The sequence below is a fragment of the Homo sapiens genome, chromosome 1 (assembly GCF_000001405.40).
Source record: "Homo sapiens chromosome 1, GRCh38.p14 Primary Assembly".
NCBI lineage: Eukaryota > Metazoa > Chordata > Mammalia > Primates > Hominidae > Homo > Homo sapiens.
Window position 1 is genome coordinate 209,958,324 of NC_000001.11, and position 21,985 is coordinate 209,980,308.

At 37.7% G+C, this 21,985-nt stretch overlaps 1 protein-coding gene across 11 annotated transcripts in view; it reads left to right on the plus strand.

The window, feature by feature from the left end:
- SYT14 (synaptotagmin 14) overlaps positions 1-21,985 on the plus strand; it is a 233,173-nt gene that overhangs the window by 20,107 nt on the left and 191,081 nt on the right. For 2 of the 11 annotated variants that reach the window (NM_001146261.4, NM_001146264.4), the window contains exon 3: positions 7,570-7,690. The exons of the other annotated variants lie outside the window; for them this stretch is intronic. In NM_001146261.4, coding sequence (NP_001139733.1) covers positions 7,570-7,690 — 121 coding nt within the window. The remainder of the gene's footprint in view (positions 1-7,569; positions 7,691-21,985) is intronic. 11 annotated transcript variants of the gene reach the window in all.

Here is a 21,985-nt window from a genome sequence, read left to right on the forward strand (position 1 = left end):
AATTCTTCTTATTTTTCTTCTTCAGTAATGTTATAGCTATTTCTGGGCCTTTGATTTTCCATATAAAGTTCAGAATCAGCTTGTCAAGTTCCTTAAAAACAAAAAGCCTTTTTGGAATTTTAATAGGAATTACATTGAATCTCTAGATCTATGTGGAGACGATATCTTTAAAATACTGAGATTTCTTATTCTTGAACATGGTGTATCTTTGCATTTGTTTAATGCCTTTCAATAAGGTTTTGAAAATTCCTCTATAATGATCTTGCATTTTTTTAGATTTATGTTTAGATACCTTATATTTTTTGTTGCTATACTAAATGAAATTCGTTAAGGGAAATGCAATTAACTTTTCTAAATTAGTGTTATATGTAGCTATGTTGCTAAACTATTTAACTATTTCCATAGATATTTTGGGTTTTCTCAGTAGACAGTTATATCATCTTCAAATAATAAGTTTTTTAATCTTTTCTAGTTATACTTTTTATTTCTTTGGCAGCTTCCTGGGGAAAATAAACAAAATAGAACTAAAAGGATACTCTATAATCCTCTTCCAACTGCTTGACTAAGCATGATCTTATAAATGGACAATAACAAGTGTTGGCGAGGATGTGGAGGAATTGGAACTCCCATCTATTGCTGGGAATGTAAAATGGTACAGCAACTTTAGAAAACAATTACAAAGTTCCTAAAAAAAAATAGAGTTACCATATAACCCAGCAATTAATACTGCTAGGCCTATACCCAAGAAAATTGAAAACATATGTTTATACAAAAATTTGTAGATGAATATTCACAGCAAGATTATTCTTTTTTTAAATTTATTATTATTATTTTTTTGAGACAGAGTCTCACTCTGTCATCCAGGCTGGAGTGCAGTGGCGTGATCTCAGCTCACTACAACCTCCGCCTCCTGGGTTCAAGTGATTCTCATGCCTCAGCCTCCTGAGTAGGTGGGACTACAGGTGTGTGCCACCACACCCAGCTAATTTTTTGTATTTTTAGTAGAGATGGGGTTTCACCACATTGGCCAGGCTGGTCTCAAACTCCTGAGCTCAGGCAATCTGCCCGCCTTGGCCTCCCAAACTGTTGAGATTACAGGCGTGAGCCACCACACCCGGCCTGGCAACGTTATTCTTGATAGCCAAAAGGGAAACAACCTAAATATCCATCAACTGATGAATGAATTAAATAAAATGTGGCATATTGACACAGTGGAATATTATTCATCCACCAGAATAAATGAATTATTGATACAAGCTACAACATTGGTGAACCTTGCCAACAGAGAAAGAAACCAGACATAAAAATTGTTTCACTCGCAAACAGTGAAAGAAACCAGACACAAAAGGCCACATATCATGTATATAGGATTTCATTCATATGAAATGTGTAGAATAGACAAATCTATAGAGACAGAACATAGATTAGTAGTTGCCAGGGCTAGGGGAGGGGAGAATAGGGAGTTACTACTAATAGGTATGGGTTTTTCTGGGGAGTGATGAAAATATTCTGAAATTAGATAGTGGTTGCACAACTCTATGAATATATTACAGAACACTGAATTATGCACTTTGGTGAATGTTGTGGCATATGTGTTTTATCTCAATAAAAAAAGCGTCTGCTTACATAGTGAGTTTTATTCTTAACCAGCTCCTCTTTTTATGCAAAAGTTTCCATTACCTGAAATTCTATTCCTTTGATATTTATTACTTTAGATTTTTTATGTCTTTATGAACCTAAATTAAAATAATGATATGCCTGAGACAGGTGAATGTATATACTAATATATGTTAATATGTCCAAGTCATATTAACCTGGAGGGTGGTTTGTAGTTTTATGGCACAGGACTCTCTATTGTCCTGGCCTATTAGTATTTTTATATACTAAATCTATCTTTATGGCATTACTTTATTGGGTATTCACAAATCAACATGTAATATCCCAGTATGAATGGCAGTCTGTTTTTGGAAATTGTAGAAAAAAGTCTCTGTAGTGGTTAGAGAATAGGAGATGATCAGTGGTTAACTTTGTTTTTTCAATTTAGGAAAAATAAATATATGCCTTTTTTTAAACATTGAAAATAAAAATGACTTTACTGAATCCATTGGGAAGATGTATAGAATGTTTAAATTTATTACCTTCCATGTTTTTCCTTGACTAGAAGGAAGTCACTTATTTAAACCACTAAAATATAAATATCTGAGCATATTTGAGAAATAGTAGCAAAAAACAGCTTTCCAATCTTTTCTCCCATTTGAATCAAAGATTGTCTTGAAGCTAGGTTGGCCACCTGTGGTTTTTTGAATGCTGCTCATCACTAGTCTAGGTAGCCTTTCAAATATGATCCGAAATAATAAACCTCATCAATTAACATCTTAAAGTGAGTAGTTGTAACTCATCTGAGAGCAAAGGCTTGTATGATTGTTGACATAGGATGTGCATGGTAGTGGTAGGTTTACAAATTATGGGGCTACAATAGATATCCTATATCTGTTCAATTCTGATAGTTTCTTATCCTAATACATAACTGTATTAGAATAATACACTTATAAGAGAGTACAAGGTGTGAGAGATGAAAATTTGGAGACAACAGGTAGATTACTGTTACTAAAGCTAGGGGAGAGGCTGAACTTGGTGCTGCTTTTCCAAACTTATGGCAATTAAGGGAATGTTTCTGCATGTGCTGTTCTTTTCCTTTGAGTTGGCTGATGTCACTTTATGGACAAATGGAAATCCAGTTAGGTGTTTATATTTTACTGTCTACACCCTCGGATTCTCCCTTTTTGCTGGGTAGACAGATTTGTGCTTTCTTTCTCTTCCCCCTCAAGTGCATCGTGGGCTCTTCCTTCTTTTGGTAGTGTTTCAGTTATTTCTTTTGGGAACATAGTAGAAAAGTGTCTGAAATGTAGGTGACAATTTTTCATGTAGAATTTGTGAAGGTGTAGAACTATATTCTGACTTTTTGGGGGCTGGGATAGGTACAGATTTCTTGCTTAGTGACCAAACTTGACTTTCAAGGCTTTTATAGTTCTAATTGTCCAGAGTAGAAGAACAATAAAGTAACTTTTCTTTTTTCTAGTATTTATTAGAGCTAGTATTTAGTAGAAAGAGTACATGATTATGAAATAAGGAGATATGGATTAAGTTTCCCAATTTGCTTCATCCAGGCTGGGTAACTAAAGTCATTAAATTCTTTGAGTCTCAGTTTCCCCCTCTGTAAAATGGTGACATTATTAAGGCTTATCTGTACTAATCTCACAAGACTTCTCTGAGGATCAAGTGAAATAAAGTGTATGAAACCCTTTGTAGTCAGTAAACTGGTATGTACATATTATTATTATCTTACTGAAGAAGGTAGGGACAGTCTTGGAACTTGTAGACTCTTACTAGAGATGAATCAGATGTATTTTTTTTTTGTATGAATTCTGGAAGGCATGACCTGATTTTTTCTATTGTTTATTCTTTCAGTGGTTTGACACTCAGGACTTTGAATGTATGAGACCTACCTACTGAGTTACTAATGTTAGCCTTCTAAAATGTTTCTATAATTCATTTAAATAATGGCATATGTCTATAGGAAACAGTTTGCTGATCTCTGAACAACGAAGTGGCTCCTAGTATGAAAAATCCTGATCATGAATCTTTGGGTGTTGGCATATAAGCAGACCTCCATCTTCAATTTCTATGCAAATCCAGTAAAATAATTTTTCTCTTATTGTTAGATCAACATGCAAATTCTAAAATGAGAAATTCTAAAAATTATGTAAAAATTATAATTGTCTTACTTTTCTTTCTTTCTTGTGACTAAACAGTATGTAATGAATAAAGTGCTCTTTTTCTCAGTGTATAATTTAGTTTTAATTATTTTAAAAAATATTGTCATAATATGATTCTCTTATTTATGCCATTTTCGTTTTTTCTGGTTCTTAGCGTAGATATCTTTTTTTTATATATATATATAGCTCAGTGACTTCTAGACACTACTGTTAAGGGATATTCTTGAATTGAGGGGACCAATAGATTTTTGTAACTGCCCTGTTGGTGTACATTGTAAGCTTTTTTTTTCTTCTTTAACCTGGCTCAAGAAATTTCAATTAGGTTGTGAATTTATAGAGCCTCGGTAGTAGCAGAGAATAGAGCTTTAGCTACTATGATTAACATGACAGTTTCATTTACAATTTAGTAGAAGGTGGAGATCATGGAGCTATATTTTCTTTGATTCGTTCTCAGCTTCTTTGAACTTCTTAATGAGAGGTTTATGTGCACCCAGAGGGAGGGTGCCTACCGCATTGACTCATGCTTGTTATTTTTAATTTTATATTCCAAATTCAGGCTGCCATAAATTAACATATACGCTAAGAGTAAAGCAGACCCCCAGTCTTTGAAGGGGAATGAAGTTCAAGAGATAAAGGGAAAGATTATATTATGGAGGTCATAGGAGTACAAGAATCTAGAGTAATCCAAATAAAAATGGAGAGCAAATGGGTGATGAAGACTATGAGAGCCCATCCTGTACCTCACTAAGTTCTCCTTTACTCTGAAAAAGCCATCTAAAAGTGTCATTTTCTTCTTCCCTTATTTCTTCCTCTAATGGCTGTATGAGTTGGAGTTTTGCAAGTGTAAAACTAAGGTGTTTACAGAATGATGTCTGTGGACCAACTTCAGAAATTTAAAGCCTGTTTGTTTTTCCTAACCCTTCTGCATTATTCAGTTGAGTTATGGACTTAATAAATCACATTGAAATGGAACAGAAGTTCATTTATTGCTACCGGAACAGAAAGACTAGAATGTTGTTTATCTGCCTGGCCCTTGGTTCAAGGGAGGTGATCTAGGCATTCTTTTACTCTGAATAGACATTATAGTTCAGATGCCCAGGGTGTGTGTAAAAAAGAAAATCTTTTTTTATTCTTGAGAGAAGAGGAATAGAGATGGATTGCTGAGATGGTCCTGACAGAATTGGTGTCATACATACCATCCACTATAGTTTCTTTGGTAAGGGTCCAGGTATTATACAAAATGTCCCATTGCCAATTTAGTTTAGATTTCTCTCTCCTAAGGTCTTTTCCATTGGAAGGAGGGTAGGGAAGAGGGAAATTTTCTTGTTTTATCAACCTATTTCATTCTAAGACTTAGGCAGAGGAATGGGATATATACTAAGTAATTTTGGCTTATGTATTTGTTTTACCTAAATGAATTATATATGTAAAAATATGTATGGCTGGGATCTTTTGATCAATAAAATTAATTTTCTGGTTATTTATTCTGGCCTGTCATTTTCATGAGGAGAAAAAATATCTACAGAGGACAGTTTTCATACATCAACTGAAATATGACTCATCTTTTCTACATTTCAACCCCAGAAGTTAGGTAAACACAAACAAACCTTTAAGAAATATATCTACAAAATGAGAGTGATGAATCTGATGAAATGACAGATTTGGTGATGATTTCCTCAAAGAATTGGTTGTTCACATCAGTGCATCTCTAATTACTGTAAAATATGGGCTTCTTTAAACATGTAAGTGTTTACATCCACTTGTAATTTATTTCAGTCAGAGGTGTGAGGGAAGGATCCAGCTTTATATTAATCTCTAACTGATCAGCCAGCTATACAATACCAGTTATTGGATAATTCATTTTCCCTGACAATTTGCAATACTACTGTTTTCATATGCTAAGTTGTTATACACGCTTGGGTCAGTGATATGGTTTGGCTCTGTGTCCCCACCTGAATCTCATCTTGAATTGTAATCCTCATTATCCCCACATGTCAAGGGAGGGACCAGGTGGGAGGTGATTGGATCATGGGGGCAGGTTCCCCCATGCTGTTCTCGTGTTAGTGAGTGAGTTTTCACGAGATCTAATGGTTTTATAAGAGTTCGGCAGTTCCTCTTCTCTCCCACCTGCCGCTGTGTAAGATGTGCCTGCTTCCCCTTCTGCAATGATTTTAAGTTTCCTGAGGCCTTCCCAGCCGTGTAGAACTGTGAGTCAATTAAACTTCCTTTCTTTATAAATTATCCAGTCTTGGGCAGTTCTTTATAGCAGTGTGAAAATGGATTAATACAGTCAGTTTCTGTAGTTAAGATTTTTTTCTTTCTATTCATCTATATGTGTTTTCTGGAACCACTATTACACTGCTTTTATTATTGAGGCTTTTGTTGCCTAGTAGAAAAGGGTTTCTTGCATTAGTGTTCATTTTAAACATTTTCTGGTTATTCCCTTATGTTTATTTTTCGATGAACTTTGGAATAAAGTATCCTCTCCTACAATTTATATTCCAAAATAATCCTTTTTCCCAGAAAGAATCCTAATGCAATTGAGTTTCCTTGTGCTCTCTCCCTATCATGAGGGGTCACACAGAGCACACTTCCTCAGCAATGAAAATGCAGCAACATGTATACCATCTTCCTGCCTAGGAAAGTCCATTAGAGACTCAGAGCCCAAGGTTTTCATGGAGGGCTTGCCATGTAAGCACCCTCTTCCTAGCTTGCAAAAAAAAATGCAGATTTCCAAAAGGAATATATGAGTTCAGCATAAACCATAGTATTTATACAAACAGTCTAGGCACAATAAACTACTTTTATCAATTAATGTTGACTGGGACCACTCTGAGGGTCAAGTTCCCAGATGCCAGCCAAGGGCCAACCTTATAAGCAGGCTTTTCTAAGGATAGCAGTCTCAGGTCTGCTATGTTCACTTTTTTTCTGTACAGAAGGTCAGTGCCAAAGAAGGGCATGTTTTGACGAAGGCTATTTTAAAATAAAATTTTAGATTCAAGAGGTACATGTTCATGTTTGTTACATGGATATATTAATATACTGTGTGATGCTGAAATCTGGGCTTCTGTTGGATCCATCACCCAAAGAGTAAACAGAATACTCAATAGTTATTCAACCCTTTTCCCCCTCCCTTTCTCTTCTCTTTTAGAGTCCCCGTGTCTATTGTTTCCATCTTTATGTCTGTGTGTACTCAGTGAGAAGAAGTGATGTTTGATTTTCTATTTCTCCATTAATTCACTTAGGATGATGGCCTCCAACTACATCTATATTGTTGCGAAGGACATGATTTCATCTCTTTTGTGGCTGCATAGTATTCCATGATATATATGTACCACGTTTTCTTTATCCAGTCAATTGTTGATGGGCACCTAGTTGATGCCATGTCTTTGCTATTCTGAATAGCACTGGGATAAACATATAAGTGCGTGTATCTTTTTGGTAGAACAGTTTGTTTTCCTTTGGGCATATACCCGGTAATGAGATTGCTGGGTTGAATGGTAGTTCTATTTTTAGTTCTTTGAGAAATCTCCAGACTGCTTTCCACAGGGACTGAACTAATTTACAGTCCCATCAACAGTCCGTAAGCATTCCCTAAGGAAGACATTTTGAGTTAGTTTTTATGTATGATGTGAGATACATATCAAAGTTCACCTGATATGGATATCTAATTGTTTCAGCCTCATTTTTTGAAAAAAACTATCCTTTCTGTGAAATGCCTTTATCCTTTTGTATCAAATCAATAGATTATATATTTATCGGTTTATTTTTGAACTTCTTTTTTTTTTTTTAGATAGGGTATTTCTCTGTGGCCAGGCTGGAGTACAGTGGCACCATCTTGGCTCACTGCAACTTCCGCCTCCTGGGTTCAAACGATTCTTCTGCCTCAGCATCCCAAGTAACTGGGACTACAGGTGCGTGCCCACCACACCCAGCTAATTTTGGTATTTTTAGTAGAGACGGGGTTTCACCATCTTGGCCAGGGTGGTCTCGATCGCTTGATCTCATGATCTGCCTGCCTCAACCTCGCAAAGTGCTGAGGTTACAGGCATGAGCCACCGCGCCCGTTCTATTTTTGAACTTTATCCTGTTCCATTGATCTGTTTGTCTGCCTTGTTGCCAATACCAAAGTGTCTTTATTACTATAGCTTTATAACCATTCTTGAAGTGCAAGTCTATAAATTTTATTTGTTTTCAGATTCATTCGCTCTTCCAGACCCTTTGCACATCTGTGTGAATTTTGGCTTCAGTTTATCAATTTCTACAAAATAGCCTGGTGGAATTTTGGATGGGACTGTGTTAGAAAAAAACACCTGTAGATAAGCTGGATAAAATGGACATTTATTTTAATATTATTGAGTCTACAGATCCATGAACCTAGTGTATATTTCTATTTAGTTCTTCTTTAATTTTCTTTAGATATATTTTGTAATTTTCAGTGTATAAGTCTTAAACATTTGATCAGATATATCCCTAAGCATTTCATATTTTTTAATGTTGTAAATAGAAATTTTAAATTTACATTTTTAGTGGTTCATTGATACTATATAGAAATACAGTTACGTTTTATACATTATTTTGTATGCTGCAACCTTGCTAAATGCACTCGTTCTAGTAGCTTATTTTGTAGATTCTAAAGAAATATTTACGTAGATGACCGTGTCTATGAATAATGACAGTTTTACTTCTTCCTTTCCAATCTGGATGCCTTTTCTTTCTTTTTCCTGCCTTATTTCACTGACTAGAACTTCTAGTACAATGTTGAATAGAAGTAGTGAGAATGAGTATCTTTGCTGGTGGTCTCAAGGGAAAGCATTTAGGGTGATCTCAAGGGAAGAGCATTCAGTCTTTTGCCAGTAAGTATGATGTTAGATGTTTTTGCCTGGGTGAGGAACTCCCTTTTTATTCCTAGTTTTCTGAAAATTTAGAAGGAGTGATTGTTGGAATTTTCCCAAGAAAATGCTTTTTCTGTATCTACTGATATCATATGATTTTAAAACTTTTTTTAGTTTGTTTACATGATGAATCACATGTTAAACCAACCTTACATTTATGAGATAAATTCCACTTGTTCATGATGGATTATCCTTTTACTATATTGTTGGAGTGGATTTGCTAAAAATTTGTTAAGACTTTTCGTGTGTCAGTAGGGATGCTGGTTTATTTTGTTTTCTTTTCATGCCTCTTTCTAGTTTTAGTATCAGGATGATACTGGCCTGAGAGAATGAATTGGGAAGTATTCCCTCCTCTTGAATTTTGTGAGAGAGTTTATATATAGTTGGTATTATTTCTTTCTTAAATGTTTGGTACAGTTCACTAGAGAAGCCACCTAGGCCTTGGTGGCATAAACCTTCTTTATGGGAAGGTTTTTAACTGCAGACTTAATTTTTAAAAAAATATATAGGCCTCTTCAGGTTATCTATTCCTGAGTGAGCTTTTATTATTTCTGACTTTCAGGGAATTTGTTCATTTCATCTAAGTTGTTGGATTTATTTGTCTGAAGTTGTTAATAATCTTTTTTATCCTATTAATATCTGTAGACTCAAATGAAGATAATCTATTTCATTTCTGATATTGATAATTTCTGTCATCTCTATTTTTTCACTGATCATTATAGGTAAAGGTTTATTGGTTTTCTTGGTGTTAAAGAGTTAGGTTTTTGTTTCATTGATTTTGCCTATTGTGTATCTGCTTTCTAGTTAATTGATTTCTGTTCTGATCTTTATTATTTCCTCTCTTCTGCTAACTTAGGGTTTTATTAGCTCTTCTTTTTCTGGTTTAAGATGTTTTTCAACTCTTATCAAGTAGCACATATCATGTAATGCCCACTCTAGAATTCTGAAATTAAATTCATAGAAAACATTACCTGCTCCTACACTAAATTTTTTAAAAAAATCAGTATATTGAACTAACTATAATATAACTGAGGAATAAAAGGAAAGGAATTTATAATGCAGTGTTAGCTATTTCAGTATGTAAACAATCAGGTGAGACTGTACTATGGCAAGAAACAGTAACACAATCAGGTGCTTATATCTATGCATAAGTTCACTGGGACTGTGACAGAATGTAGCCTCATCTTAGGTCATTGACTGAGACCTTGTTTTCTAAAATAGACATTGAGTGCTATGCATAGTCCTATACTGACATATCACTATTGACCAGAGTTCATAGTTTTACATTAGGGGTCACTCTTGGTGTTCTACAGTATAAGGGTTTTAACAAATGTGTAATGACGTGTATCCACCATTATAGTATCATATGGAGTAGTTCCATACTCCATATGGATAGTACTCCATATGGAGTAGTATCATATGGAGTAGTTTCATATGGTAGATACTATATGATATTATAGTATCATATGGAGTAGTTTCATATGGAGTAGTTTCATCATATGGAGTAGTTTCATCATATCATATGGAGTATGCTCCGCATATTCATCCCTTTCCCACCTCCACCCAACCCTTGGCAGCCACTGAATTTTGTACTGTCTCCATAGTTTTTCTTTTCCAGAATGTCATATAGTTGGAAACATACAGTATGTAGGCTTTTCAGATTGGGTTCTTTTACTTAGTAATGTGGATTTAAGATTCCTTCATGTCTTTTCATGGTTTAGTAGCTCATTTCTTTTTTTTTTTTTAATAATTTAAACATTTATTGTAGATTCAAGGGGTACATGTGCAGGTTTGTTAAATGGGTATTTTGTGTGATGGTGAGGTTTAGGGTACCATTGATGCCACCACCCAGGTAGTGAACATAGTATCCAATAGGTAGCTTTTCAACCATTGCCTCCCTTTCTTCCTCCCCACTCTTATAGTCCCCAGTGTCTTTTGTTCTCATCTTTATGTCCCTATGTACCCAGTGTTTAGCTCCCACTTATAAGTGAGAATATGTGGTATTTGGTTTTCTGTTTCTGTGTTAGTTCACTTAGGATAAGGGCCTCTAGCTGCATCCATGTTGCTGTAGAGGACGTGATTTCATTATTTTTTATGGCTGTGTAGTATTCCATGGCGTTTATGGACACATTTTCTTTATTCAATCCACTGTTGATGGGCACCTAGGTTGATTCCATGTCTTTGCTATTGTGAATAATGCTGTGGTGAACATATGTGTGCATATGCCTTTTTTGGGAGAATGATTTATTTTCTTTTGGAGATACCTGGTAATGGGATTGCTGCATCGAATGGTAGCTCTGTTTCAAGTTATCTGAGAAATCTCAGAGTTGCTTTCCATGGTGGCTAAACTAATTTACATTACCATCCACAGTGTATAAGTGTTCCCCTTTTTCTGCAGCCTCACCAGCATCTGCTAATTTGTTTTTACTTTTTAATAATAGCCGTTCTGACTAGTGTGAAATGGTATCTCATTGTGGGTTGTTTTTTCTTTCTTTTTTTTTTTTTTTTTTTGAGATGGAGTCTTGCTCTGTTGCCCAGGCTGGAGTGCAGTGGCGTGATCTCGGCTCACTGCAACCTCTGCCTCCTGGGTTCAAGTGATTCTCCTTCCTCAGCCTCCCAAGTAGCTGGGACTACAGGCGCGTGCCACCACACTGGGCTAATTTTTTGTATTTTTAGTGTAGACGGGGTTTCACCGTGTTAGCCAGGATGGTCTTGATCTCCTGATCCACCCGTCTTGGCCTCCCAAAGTACTGGGATTACAGGCGTGAGCCACCGTGCCTGGCCCTCATTGTGGTTCTGATTTTCATTTCTCTGATGATTAGTGATATTGACCATTTTTTCATGTTTGTTGGCTGCTTGTATGTCTTCTTTTGAGAAGTGTCTGTTTATGTCTTTGCTCACTTTTTAATGGGGTTGTTTTCTGTTTGTTGAATTGTTTATTTCTTATAGATTCTGGATGTTAGATCTTTGTCAGATACATAGTTTGCAAATATGCAAATATTTTCTCCCATTCTGCAGGCTGGCTGCTCATTGTGTTGATTACTTCTTTTACTGTGCAGAAGCTTTTTAGTTGATGTAGTCCCATTTGTCTATTTTTGTTTTTGTTGCATTTGCTTTGGGGGTCTCAGTCATGAATTCTTTGTCTAGCCCAATGTCCAGAGGAGGTTTTCCTATATTTTCTTTTAGAATTTTTATAGCTTCAGAATTTACATTTAAGTCTTTAATCCATCTTGAGTTAATTTTTGTGTATAGTGAGAGATAGGGGTCCAGTTTCATTCCACATATAGTAATCCAGTTTTTCCAGCTCCATTTATGAATAGGGTGTCCTTTCCCCAGTGTATGTTTTTGTTAACTTTGTCAGAGATCAGTTGGCTATAGGTACGTACCTTTATTTCTGGGTTGTCTGTTCTGTCCTCTTGGTCTATGTGTCTGTTTTTGTATCAGTACCATGCTGTTCTGGTTACTATAGCCTTATACCATTTAGTTTAAAGTCAGGTAATGTGATGCATCCAGCTTTATTCTTTTTGCTTAGGATGGCTTTCACTATTTGGGCTCTTTTTTGGTTCCATATGAATTTTAGAATAGTTTTTTTCTAATTCTGTGAAGAATGACATTGGTAGTTTGGTAGGAATAGCATTGAATTTACAGATTGCTTTGGGCAGTATGGCTTTTTTTTTTTTTTTTTTTTTTTTTTTTTTTTTTTTTTTGAGGCAGAGTCTCACTCTTGCCCAGGCTGGAGTACAGTGGCACAGTCTCGGCTCACTGCAACCTCCGCCTCCCAGGTTCAAGCCATTCTCCTGCCCTCAGCCTCCTGTACTGGGATTACAGTCATGTGCCACCACGCCCAACTAGTTTTTGTATTATTAGTAGAGATGGGGTTTCACCATGTTGGCCAGGCTCGTCTCAAACTCCTGACATCAGGTGATCCACCTGCCTTGGCCTCCCAAAGTGCTGGGATTACAGGTGTGAGCCACTGCGCCCAGGGCAGTATGGCCATTTTAATGATACTTACTCTCCAATCCATGAGCATGGAATGTTTTTCCATTTGTATCATCTATGATTTCTTTCAGCAGTGTTTGGTAGTTCCTCTTGAGGAGATCATTCACCTCCTTGCTTAGATGTATTCCTAGATATTTCTTTTTTTATGTGGCTATTATGAAAGAGATTGTTCTTGGCTTGGCTCTCAGCTTAAACATTATAAGTGTATAGAAATGCTGCCGATTTTTGTACTTTGATTTTGTATCTTGAAACTTTACTGAAGTCGTTTATCAGTTCCGGGAGTGTTTTCGTGGAGTCTTTAGGGTTTTCTCGGCATAGCATCATATCATCATTAAAAAGTGACAGTCTGACTTCCTTTTGTCCTATAGGGATACCTTTCATTTCTTTCTCTTGCCTGATTGCTCTAGGTAGGACTTCCAGTATTATGTTGAATAAGAGTGGTGAGAGTAGACATCCTTGTCTTGTTCCAGTTCTCAAGGGGAATTGTTCCAGCTTTTGTCCAGTCAGTATAATATTGGCTATGGGTTTGTCATAGATGGGTCTTATTATTTTGAGGTATGTTCCTTTTGCTGCCTAGTTTGTTGAGGGTTTTTATCACAAAGGGATGTTGGATTTTATCAAAAGCTTTTTTCATGTTGATTGAGATGATCATGCAGTTTTTGTTCTTAACTCAGTTTATGCGGTGAATCACATTTATTGATTTATGTATGTTGGGCCAACCTTGCATCCCAGGAATGAAGGCTACTTGATCATGGCAGATTAACTTTTTGGTATGTTGCTGAATTTGATTTGCTAATATTTTGTTGAGAATTTTTGTGTCTGTGTTCTTCAGGGATATTGGCCTGAAGTTTTCTTTTTTTGTTGTATTTTTGCCAAGTTTTGGTATTAGGGTGATGCTGGCTTCATAGAATAAGTTACGGAGGAGTCCCTCCTCCTTGTTTTTCTGGAATACATTCAGTACGATTGGCACCAGTTCTTCTTTATGCGTCTGTTAGAATTTGGCTGTGAATCCATCTGGTGCAGGGCTTTTTTTGGTTGGTAGGGTTTTTATTATTGATTCAATTTTGGAACTTGATGTTGGTCTGTTCAAGGTTTCAGTTTCTTCTTGAGACGATCTTGGGAGGTTGTATGTTTCCAGGGATTTATCCATTTCCTCTAGATTTTCTAGTTTTATTTGCATAGAGATATTCGTAGTAGTCTCTGAGGATCTTTCATATTTCTATATAATTGGTTGTAATGTCTGGATCATCTCACTGTTTTTCTTTTTTAATCTAGTGGCCTATCAATGTTGTTTATCGTTTCAAAGAACCAACTTTTGGTTTCATTGATTCTTCGTATGGATTTGGGGTCTCAGTTTCCTTCAGTTCTACTCTGATTTTTAGTTATTTCTTTTTTTCTGCTGCCTTTCAGGTTAGTTTGTTCTTGTTTTTCTCGTTCTTCTAGGTGTGATGTTAGATCATGAAGATTTTTTCTATTTAGGTAGGTGTATAGCACTATGAACTTTCCTCTTAATACTGCTTTTGCTGCATCCCAAAGATTTTTGTATGTTGTGTCTCTGTTTTCATTTATTTTAAAGATTTTTTAAATTTCTGCCTTAGTTTTATTGTTTACCCCAAAGTCACTCAGTAGCAAGTTGCTTAATTTCCATGAAATTGTGTGGTTTTGAGAGATCTTCTTGGTATTGATTTCTGTTTTTATTTCACTGTGATCTGAACGTATGGTTGGAATGATTTCAGTTTTTTTGAATTTATTGAGACTTGACTTATGGCTGAGCATGTGGCCTATCTTAGAGTGTGTTCTGTGTGCAAACAAGAAGAATGTATATTCTGTGGTTGATGGGTACAATATTCTGTAGATGGTTATTAGGTTCAGTTGGTCAAGTATCAAACTTAAGTCCAGAAATTCTTTGTTGGTTTTCTGCCACGATGATGTGTCTCATGCTGTCAGTGGGGTATCGAAGTCCCTCACTATTATTGTGTGTCTAAGTCTTTTCATAGGTCTAGAAGAATTTGTTTTATGAATCTGAGTGCCTCAGTGTTGGGTGTGTATGTATTTAGGATAGTTAAGTCTTGTTTAATTGGACACTTTATCATTATGTAATGCATTTCTCTGTCCTTTTTTATTGTTGTTGGTTTAAAGTATGTTTCATCTGATATAAGAATAGCGACTCCAGCTCTTTTTTTTTTCTGTTTGTGTGATAGATCTTTCATTTCATTTTATTTTATTTTTTATTATACTTTAAGTTTTAGGGTACATGTGCACAACGTGCAGGTTAGTTACACATGTATACATGTGCCATGTTGGTGTGCTGCACCCATTAACTCGTCATTTAACATTAGGTATATATCCTAATGCTATCCCTCCCCTCTCCCCTCACCCCACAACAGACCCCGGTGTGTGATGTTCCCCTTCCTGTGTCCACATGTTCTTATTGTTCAGTTCCCACCTATGAGTGAGAATATGTGATGTTTGGGGTTTTGTCCTTGAGATAGTTTGCTGAGAATGATGGTTTCCAGCTTCAACCATGTCCCTACAAAGGACATGAACTCATCATTTTTTATGGCTGCATAGTATTCCATGGTGTATATGTGCCACATTTTCTTAATCCAGTCTATCATTGGTGGACGTTGGGTTGGTTCCAAGTCTTTGCTATTGTGAATAGTGCCGCTATAAACATACGTGTGCATGTGTCTTTATAGCAGCATGATTTATAATCCTTTGGGTATATACCCAGTAATGGGATGGCTGGGTCAAATGGTATTTCTAGTTCTAGATCCCTGAGGAATTGCCACACTGACTTCTAGAATGGTTGAACCAGTTTACAGTCCCACCAACAGTGTAAAAGTGTTCCTATTTCTCCACATCCTCTCCAGCACCTGTTGTTTCCTGACTTTTTAATGATCGCCATTCTAACTGGTGTGAGATGGTATCTCATTGTGGTTTTGATTTGCATTTCTCTGATTGCCAGTGATGATGAGCATTTTTTCATGTGTCTTTTGGCTGCATAAATGTCTTCTTTTGAGAAGTGTCTGTTCATATCCTTCGCCCACTTTTTGATGGGGTTGTTTTTTTTTTCCTTGTAAATTTGTTTGAGTTCATTGTAGAATCTGGATATTAGCCCTTTGTCAGATGAGTAGATTGCAAAAATGTTCTCCCATTCTGTAGGTTGCCTGTTCACTCTGATGGTAGTTTCTTTTGCTGTGCAGAAGCTTTTTAGTTTAGTTAGATCCCATTTGTCAATTTTGGCTTTTGTTACCATTGCTTTTGGTGTTTTAGACATGAAGTCCTTGCCCATGCCTATGTCCTGAATGGTATTGCCTAGGTTTTCTTCTAGGGTTTTTATGGTTTCAGGTCTAACATTTACATCTTTAATCCATCTTGAATTAATTTTTGTATAAGGTGTAAGGAAGGGATCCAGTTTCAGCTTTCTACATATGGCTAGCCAGTTTTTCCAGCACCACTTATTAAATAGGGAATCGTTTACCCATTTCTTGTTTTTGTCAGATTTGTCAAAGATCGGGTGGTTGTAGATATGTGGCATTATTTCTCAGGGCTCTGTTCTGTTCCATTGGTCTATATCTCTGTTGTGGTACCAGTACCATGCTGTTTTGGTTACTGTAGCCTTGTAGTATAGTTTGAAGTCAGGTAGCGTGATGCCTCCAGCTTTGTTCTTTTGGCATAGGATTGACTTGGCAATGCGGGCTCTTTTTTGGTTCCATATGAACTTTAAAGTAGTTTTTTCCAATTCTGTGAAGAAAGTCATTGGTAGCTTGATGGAGATGGCATTGAATCTATAAATTACCTTGGGCAATTTGGCCATTTTCACAATATTGATTATTCCTACCTATGAGCATGGAATGTTCTTCCGTTTGTTTGTATCCTCTTTTATTTCATTGAGCAGTGGTTTGTAGTTCTCCTTGAAGAGGTCCTTCATGTCCCTTGTAAGTTGGATTCCTAGGTATTTTACTCTTTTTGAAGCAATTGTGAATGGGAGTTCACTCATGATTCGGCTCTCTGTTTGTCTGTTATTGGTGTATAAGAATGCTTGTGATTTTTGCACATTGATTTTGTATCCTGAGACTTTGCTGAAGTTGCCTATCGGCTTAAGGAGATTTTGGGCTGAGACAGTGGGGTTTTCTAGATATACAATCACGTCATATGCAAACAGGGACAATTTGACTTCCTCTTTTCCTAATTGAATACCCTTTATTTCCTTCTCCTGCCTGATTGCCCTGGCCAGAACTTCCAACACTAATAGGAGTGGTGAGAGAGGGCATCCCTGTCTTGTGTCAGTTTTCAAAGGGAATGCTTCCAGTTTTTGCCCATTCAGTATGATACTGGCTGTGGGTTTATCATAGACAGCTCTTATTATTTTGAGATACATCCCATCAATACCTAATTTATTGAGAGTTTTTAGCATGAAGCTTTGTTGAATTTTGTCAAAGGCCTTTTCTGCATCTATTGAGATAATCATGTGGTTTTTGTCATTGGTTCTGTATATGCTGGATTACGTTTATTGATTTGTGTATGTTGAACCAGCCTTGCATCCAGGGATGAAACCCACTTGATCATGGTGGATAAGCTTTTTGATATGCTGCTGGATTCGGTTTGCCAGTATTTTATTGAGGATTTTTGTATCAATGTTCATCAGGGATATTGGTCTAAAATTCTCTTTTTTGGTTGTGTCTCTGCCAGGCTTTGGTATCAGGATGATGCTGGCCTCATAAAATGAGTTAGGGAGGATTCCCTCTTTTTCTATTGATTGGAATAGTTTCAGAAGGAATGATACCAGCTCCTCCTTGTACCTCTGGTAGAATTCAGCTGTGAATCCATCTGATCCGGGCCTTTTTTGGTTGGTAAGCTATTAATTATTGCCTCAATTTCAGAGCCAGTTGTTGGTCTATTCAGAGATTCAACTTTTTGCTGATTTAGTCTTGGGAGGGTGTATGTGTCGAGGAATTTATCCATTTCTTCTAGATTTTCTAGTTTATTTGCATAGAGGTGTTTATAGTATTCTCTGATGGTAATTTGTATTTCTGTGGGATTGGTGGTGATATCCCCTTTATCATTTTTTATTGCATCTATTTGATTCTTCTCTCTTTTCTTCTTTATTAGTCTTGCTAGCGGTTTATCAATTTTTTTGATCTTTTCAAAAAACCAGCTCCTGGATTCATTGATTTTTTCAAGGGTTTTTTGTGTCTCTATTTCCTTCAGTTCTGCTCTGATCTTAGTTATTTCTTGCCTTCTGCTAGCTTTTGAATGTGTTTGCTCTTGCTTCTCTAGTTCTTTTAATTGTGATGTTAGGGTGTCAATTTTGGATCTTTCCTGCTTTCTCTTGTGGGCATTTAGTGCTATAAATTTCCCTCTCCACACTGCTTTGAATGTGTCCCAGAGATTCTGGTATGTTGTGTCTTTGTTCTCGTTGGTTTCAAAGAGCATCTTTACTTCTGCCTTCATTTCGTTATGTACCCAGTAGGCATTCAGGAGCAGGTTGTTCAGTTTCCATGTAGTTGAGCAGTTTTGAGTGAGTTTCTTAATCCTGAGTTCTAGTTTGATTGCACTGTGGTCTGAGAGACAGTTTGTTATAATTTCTGTTCTTTTACATTTGCTGAGGAGTCCTTTACTTCCAACTATGTGGTCAATTTTGGAATAAGTACGGCATGGTGCTGAGAAGAATGTATGTTCTGTTGATTTGGGGTGGAGAGTTCTGTAGATGTGTATTAGGTCCACTTGGTGCAGAGCTGAGTTCAATTCCTGGATATCCTTGTTAACTTTCTGTCTTCGTTGATCTGTCTAATGTTGACAGTGGGGTGTTAAAGTCTCCCATTATTATTGTGTGGGAGTCTAAGTCTCTTTGTAGGTCTCTAAGGACTTGCTTTATGAATCTGGGTGCTCCTGTATTGGGTGCATATATATTTAGGATAGTTAGCTCTTCTTGTTGAATTGATCCCTTTACCATTATGTAATGGCCTTCTTTGTCTCTTTTGATCTTTGTTGGTTTAAAGTCTATTTTATCAGAGACTAGGTTTGCAACCCCTGCCTTTTTTTTGTTTTCCATTTGCTTGGTGGATCTTCCTCCATCCCTTTATTTTGAGCCTATGTGTGTCTCTGCACGTGAGATGGGTTCCCTGAATACAGCACACTGATTGGTCTTGACTGTTTGTCCAATTTGCCAGTCTGTGTCTTTTAATTGGAGCATTTAGCCCATTTACATTAAAGGTTAATATTGTTATGTGTGAATTTGATCCTGTCATTATGATGTTAGCTGGTTATTTTGCTCGTTAGTTGATGCAGTTTCTTCCTAGCTTTGATGTCTTTACAATTTGGCATGTTTTTGCAGTGGCTGGTACTGGTTGTTCCTTTCCATGTTTAGTGCTTCCTTCAGGAGCTCTTTTAGGGCAGGCCTGGTAGTGACAAAATCTCTCACCGTTTGCTTGTCTGTAAAGGATTTTATTTCTCCTTCACTTATGAAGCTTAATTTGGCTGGATATGAAATTCTGGGTTGAAAATTCTTTTCTTTAAGAATGTTGAATATTGGTCCCCACTGTCTTCTGGCTTGTAGAGTTTCTGCCGAGAGATCAGCTGTTAGTCTGATGGGCTTCCCTTTGTGGGTAACCCGACCTTTCTCTCTGGCTGCCCTTAACATTTTTTCCTTAATTGCAACTTTGATGAATCTGACAATTATGAGTCTTGGAGTTGCTCTTCTGGAGGAGTATCTTTGTGGCATTCTCTGTATTTCCCGAATTTGAATGTTGGCCTGCCTTGCTAGTTTGGGAAAGTTCTCTTGGATAATATCCTGCAGAGTGTTTTCCAACTTGGTTCCATTCTCCCCATCACTTTCAGGTACACCAATCAGACATAGATTTGGTCTTTTCACATAGTCCCATATTTCTTGGAGGCTTTGCTCATTTCTTTTTATTCTTTTTTCTCTAAACTTCTCTTCTTGCTTCATTTCATTCACTTGATCTTCCATCACTGATACCCTTTCTTCCAGTTAATAGAATCAGCTCTTGAGTCTTGTGCATTCGTCACGTAGTTCTCGTGCCTTGGTTTTCAGCTCCATCAGGTCCTTTAAGGACTCTTTGCATGGGTTATTCTAGTTCACCATTCGTATAATTTTTTTTCAAGGTTTTTAACTTCTTTGCCATGGGTTCAAACTTTCTCCTTTAGCTCGGAGTAGTTTGATCGTCTGAAGCCTTCTTCTCTCAACTCATCGAAGTCATTCTCCGTCCAGCTTTGTTCCGTTGCTGGTGAGGAGCTGCGTTCCTTTGGAGGAGGAGAGGCGCTCTGATTTTTAGAGTTTCCAGTTTTTCTGCTCTGTTTTTTCACCATCTTTGTGGTTTTATCTACCTTTGGTCTTTGATGATGGTGACGTACAGATGGGATTTTGGTGTGGATGTCCTTTCTGTTTGTTAGTTTTCCTTCTAACATTCAGGACCCTCAGCTGCAGGTCTGTTGGAGTTTGCTAGAGGTCCACTCCAGACCCTGTTTGCCTGGGTATCAGCAGCAGAGGCTGCAGAACAGCAGATATTGGTGATCAGCAAATGTTGCTGCCTGATCGTTCCTCTGGAAGTTTTGTCTCAGAGGAGTACCTGGCCGTGTGAGGTGTCAGTCTGCCCCTACTGGGGGGTGCCTCCCAGTAAGGCTACCCAGGGGTCAGGGACCCACTTGAGGAGGCAGTCTGTCCGTTCTCAGATCTCCAGCTGCGTGCTGGGAGAACCACTACTCTCTTCAAAGCTGTCAGACAGTGACATTTAAGTCTGCAGAGGATTTTGCTGCCTTTTGTTTGGGTATTCCCTGCCCCCAGAGGTGGAACCTGCAGAGGCAGGCAGGCCTTCTTGAGCTGTGCTGGGCTCCACCCAGTTCGAGCTTCCAGGCCCCTTTGTTTACCTACTCAAGCCTGGGCAGTGGCGGGCGCCCCTCCCCCAGCCTCGCTGCCGCCTTACAGTTTGATCTCAGACTGCTGTGCTAGGAATCAGCGAGGCTCCGTGGGCGTAGGACCCTCCGAGCCAGGCGCGGGATATAATCTCCTGGTATGGTGTTTGCTAAGACCATTGGAAAAGCGCAGTATTAGGGTGGGAGTGACCCAATTTTCCGGGTGCCGTCTGTCACCCCTTTCTTTGACTAGGAAAGGGAATTCCCTGACCCCTTGCGCTTCCTGGGTGAGGCGATGCCTCGCCCTGCTTTGGCTCACGCTGGGTGCACTGCACCCACTGTCCTGCACCCACTTTCTGACACTCCCCAGTGAGATGAGCCCGGTACCTCAGTTGGAAATGCAGAAATCACCTGTCTTCTGCGTCGCTCACACTGGGAGCTCTAGACTGGAGCTGTTCCTATTCGGCCATCTTGGCTCCACCTGATAGATCTTTCTTCCACCCTTTTCTTTGAGCCTGTGGATGTTGTTATGGATGAGATGGTTTTCTTGAGGACAGCAGACAAATGGGTCTTTTTTTTTTCCCAACTTTTAAGTTTAGGGGTACATTTGCAGGATGCGAAGGTTTGTTGCAGAGGTAAATGTGTGCCATGGTGGCTTGCTGCACAGATCATCCCATCAACTAGGTATTAAGCCCAGCATCCATTAGCTATTCGTCTTGGTGCTTTCCCTCCTGCTGCCCCCTACTCTCCAACAGGCCCCAGTGTGTGTTTTTCCCCACCATGGGTCCATATGTTCTCATCACTCACCTCCCACTTGTAAGTGAGAACATGTGGCATTTGGATTTCTGTTCCTGGGTTTGTTTGCTGAGGATAACAGCTTGTGGCTCCATCCATGTCCCTACAAAGGACATGATCTTTTTTCTTTTTATGGCTGCATGGTATTCCGTGGTGTATATGTACCACATTTTCTTTATCCAGTCCATCACTGATGGGCATTTAGATTGATTCCACGTCTTTGCTATTGTGAATAGTGCTACAATGAACATGTGCATGCATATGTCTTTATAATAGAATGATTTATACTTCTTTGGGCATATACCCAGTAATGGGAGCATTGCTGGGTCAAATGGTATTTCTGCCTCTAGGTTTTTGAAGAATCACCATATTGTCTTCCACAATAGTTGAACTTAACTTACATTTTTACCAACAGTGTAAAAGTGCTCCTTTTTCTCTAGAACCATGCCAGCATCTGTTATTTTTTGACTTTTTAATTATAGCTGTTCTTACTGGTGTAAGATGGTATCTCATTGTGGTTTTGATTTACATTTCTCTGATGATCAGTGATGCTGAGCTTTTTTTCATATGTATGTTGGCTGCATGTGTATCTTCTTTTGAGAAGTGTCTGTTCATATTCTTTGCCTTTTTAATGGTTTTTTTCTT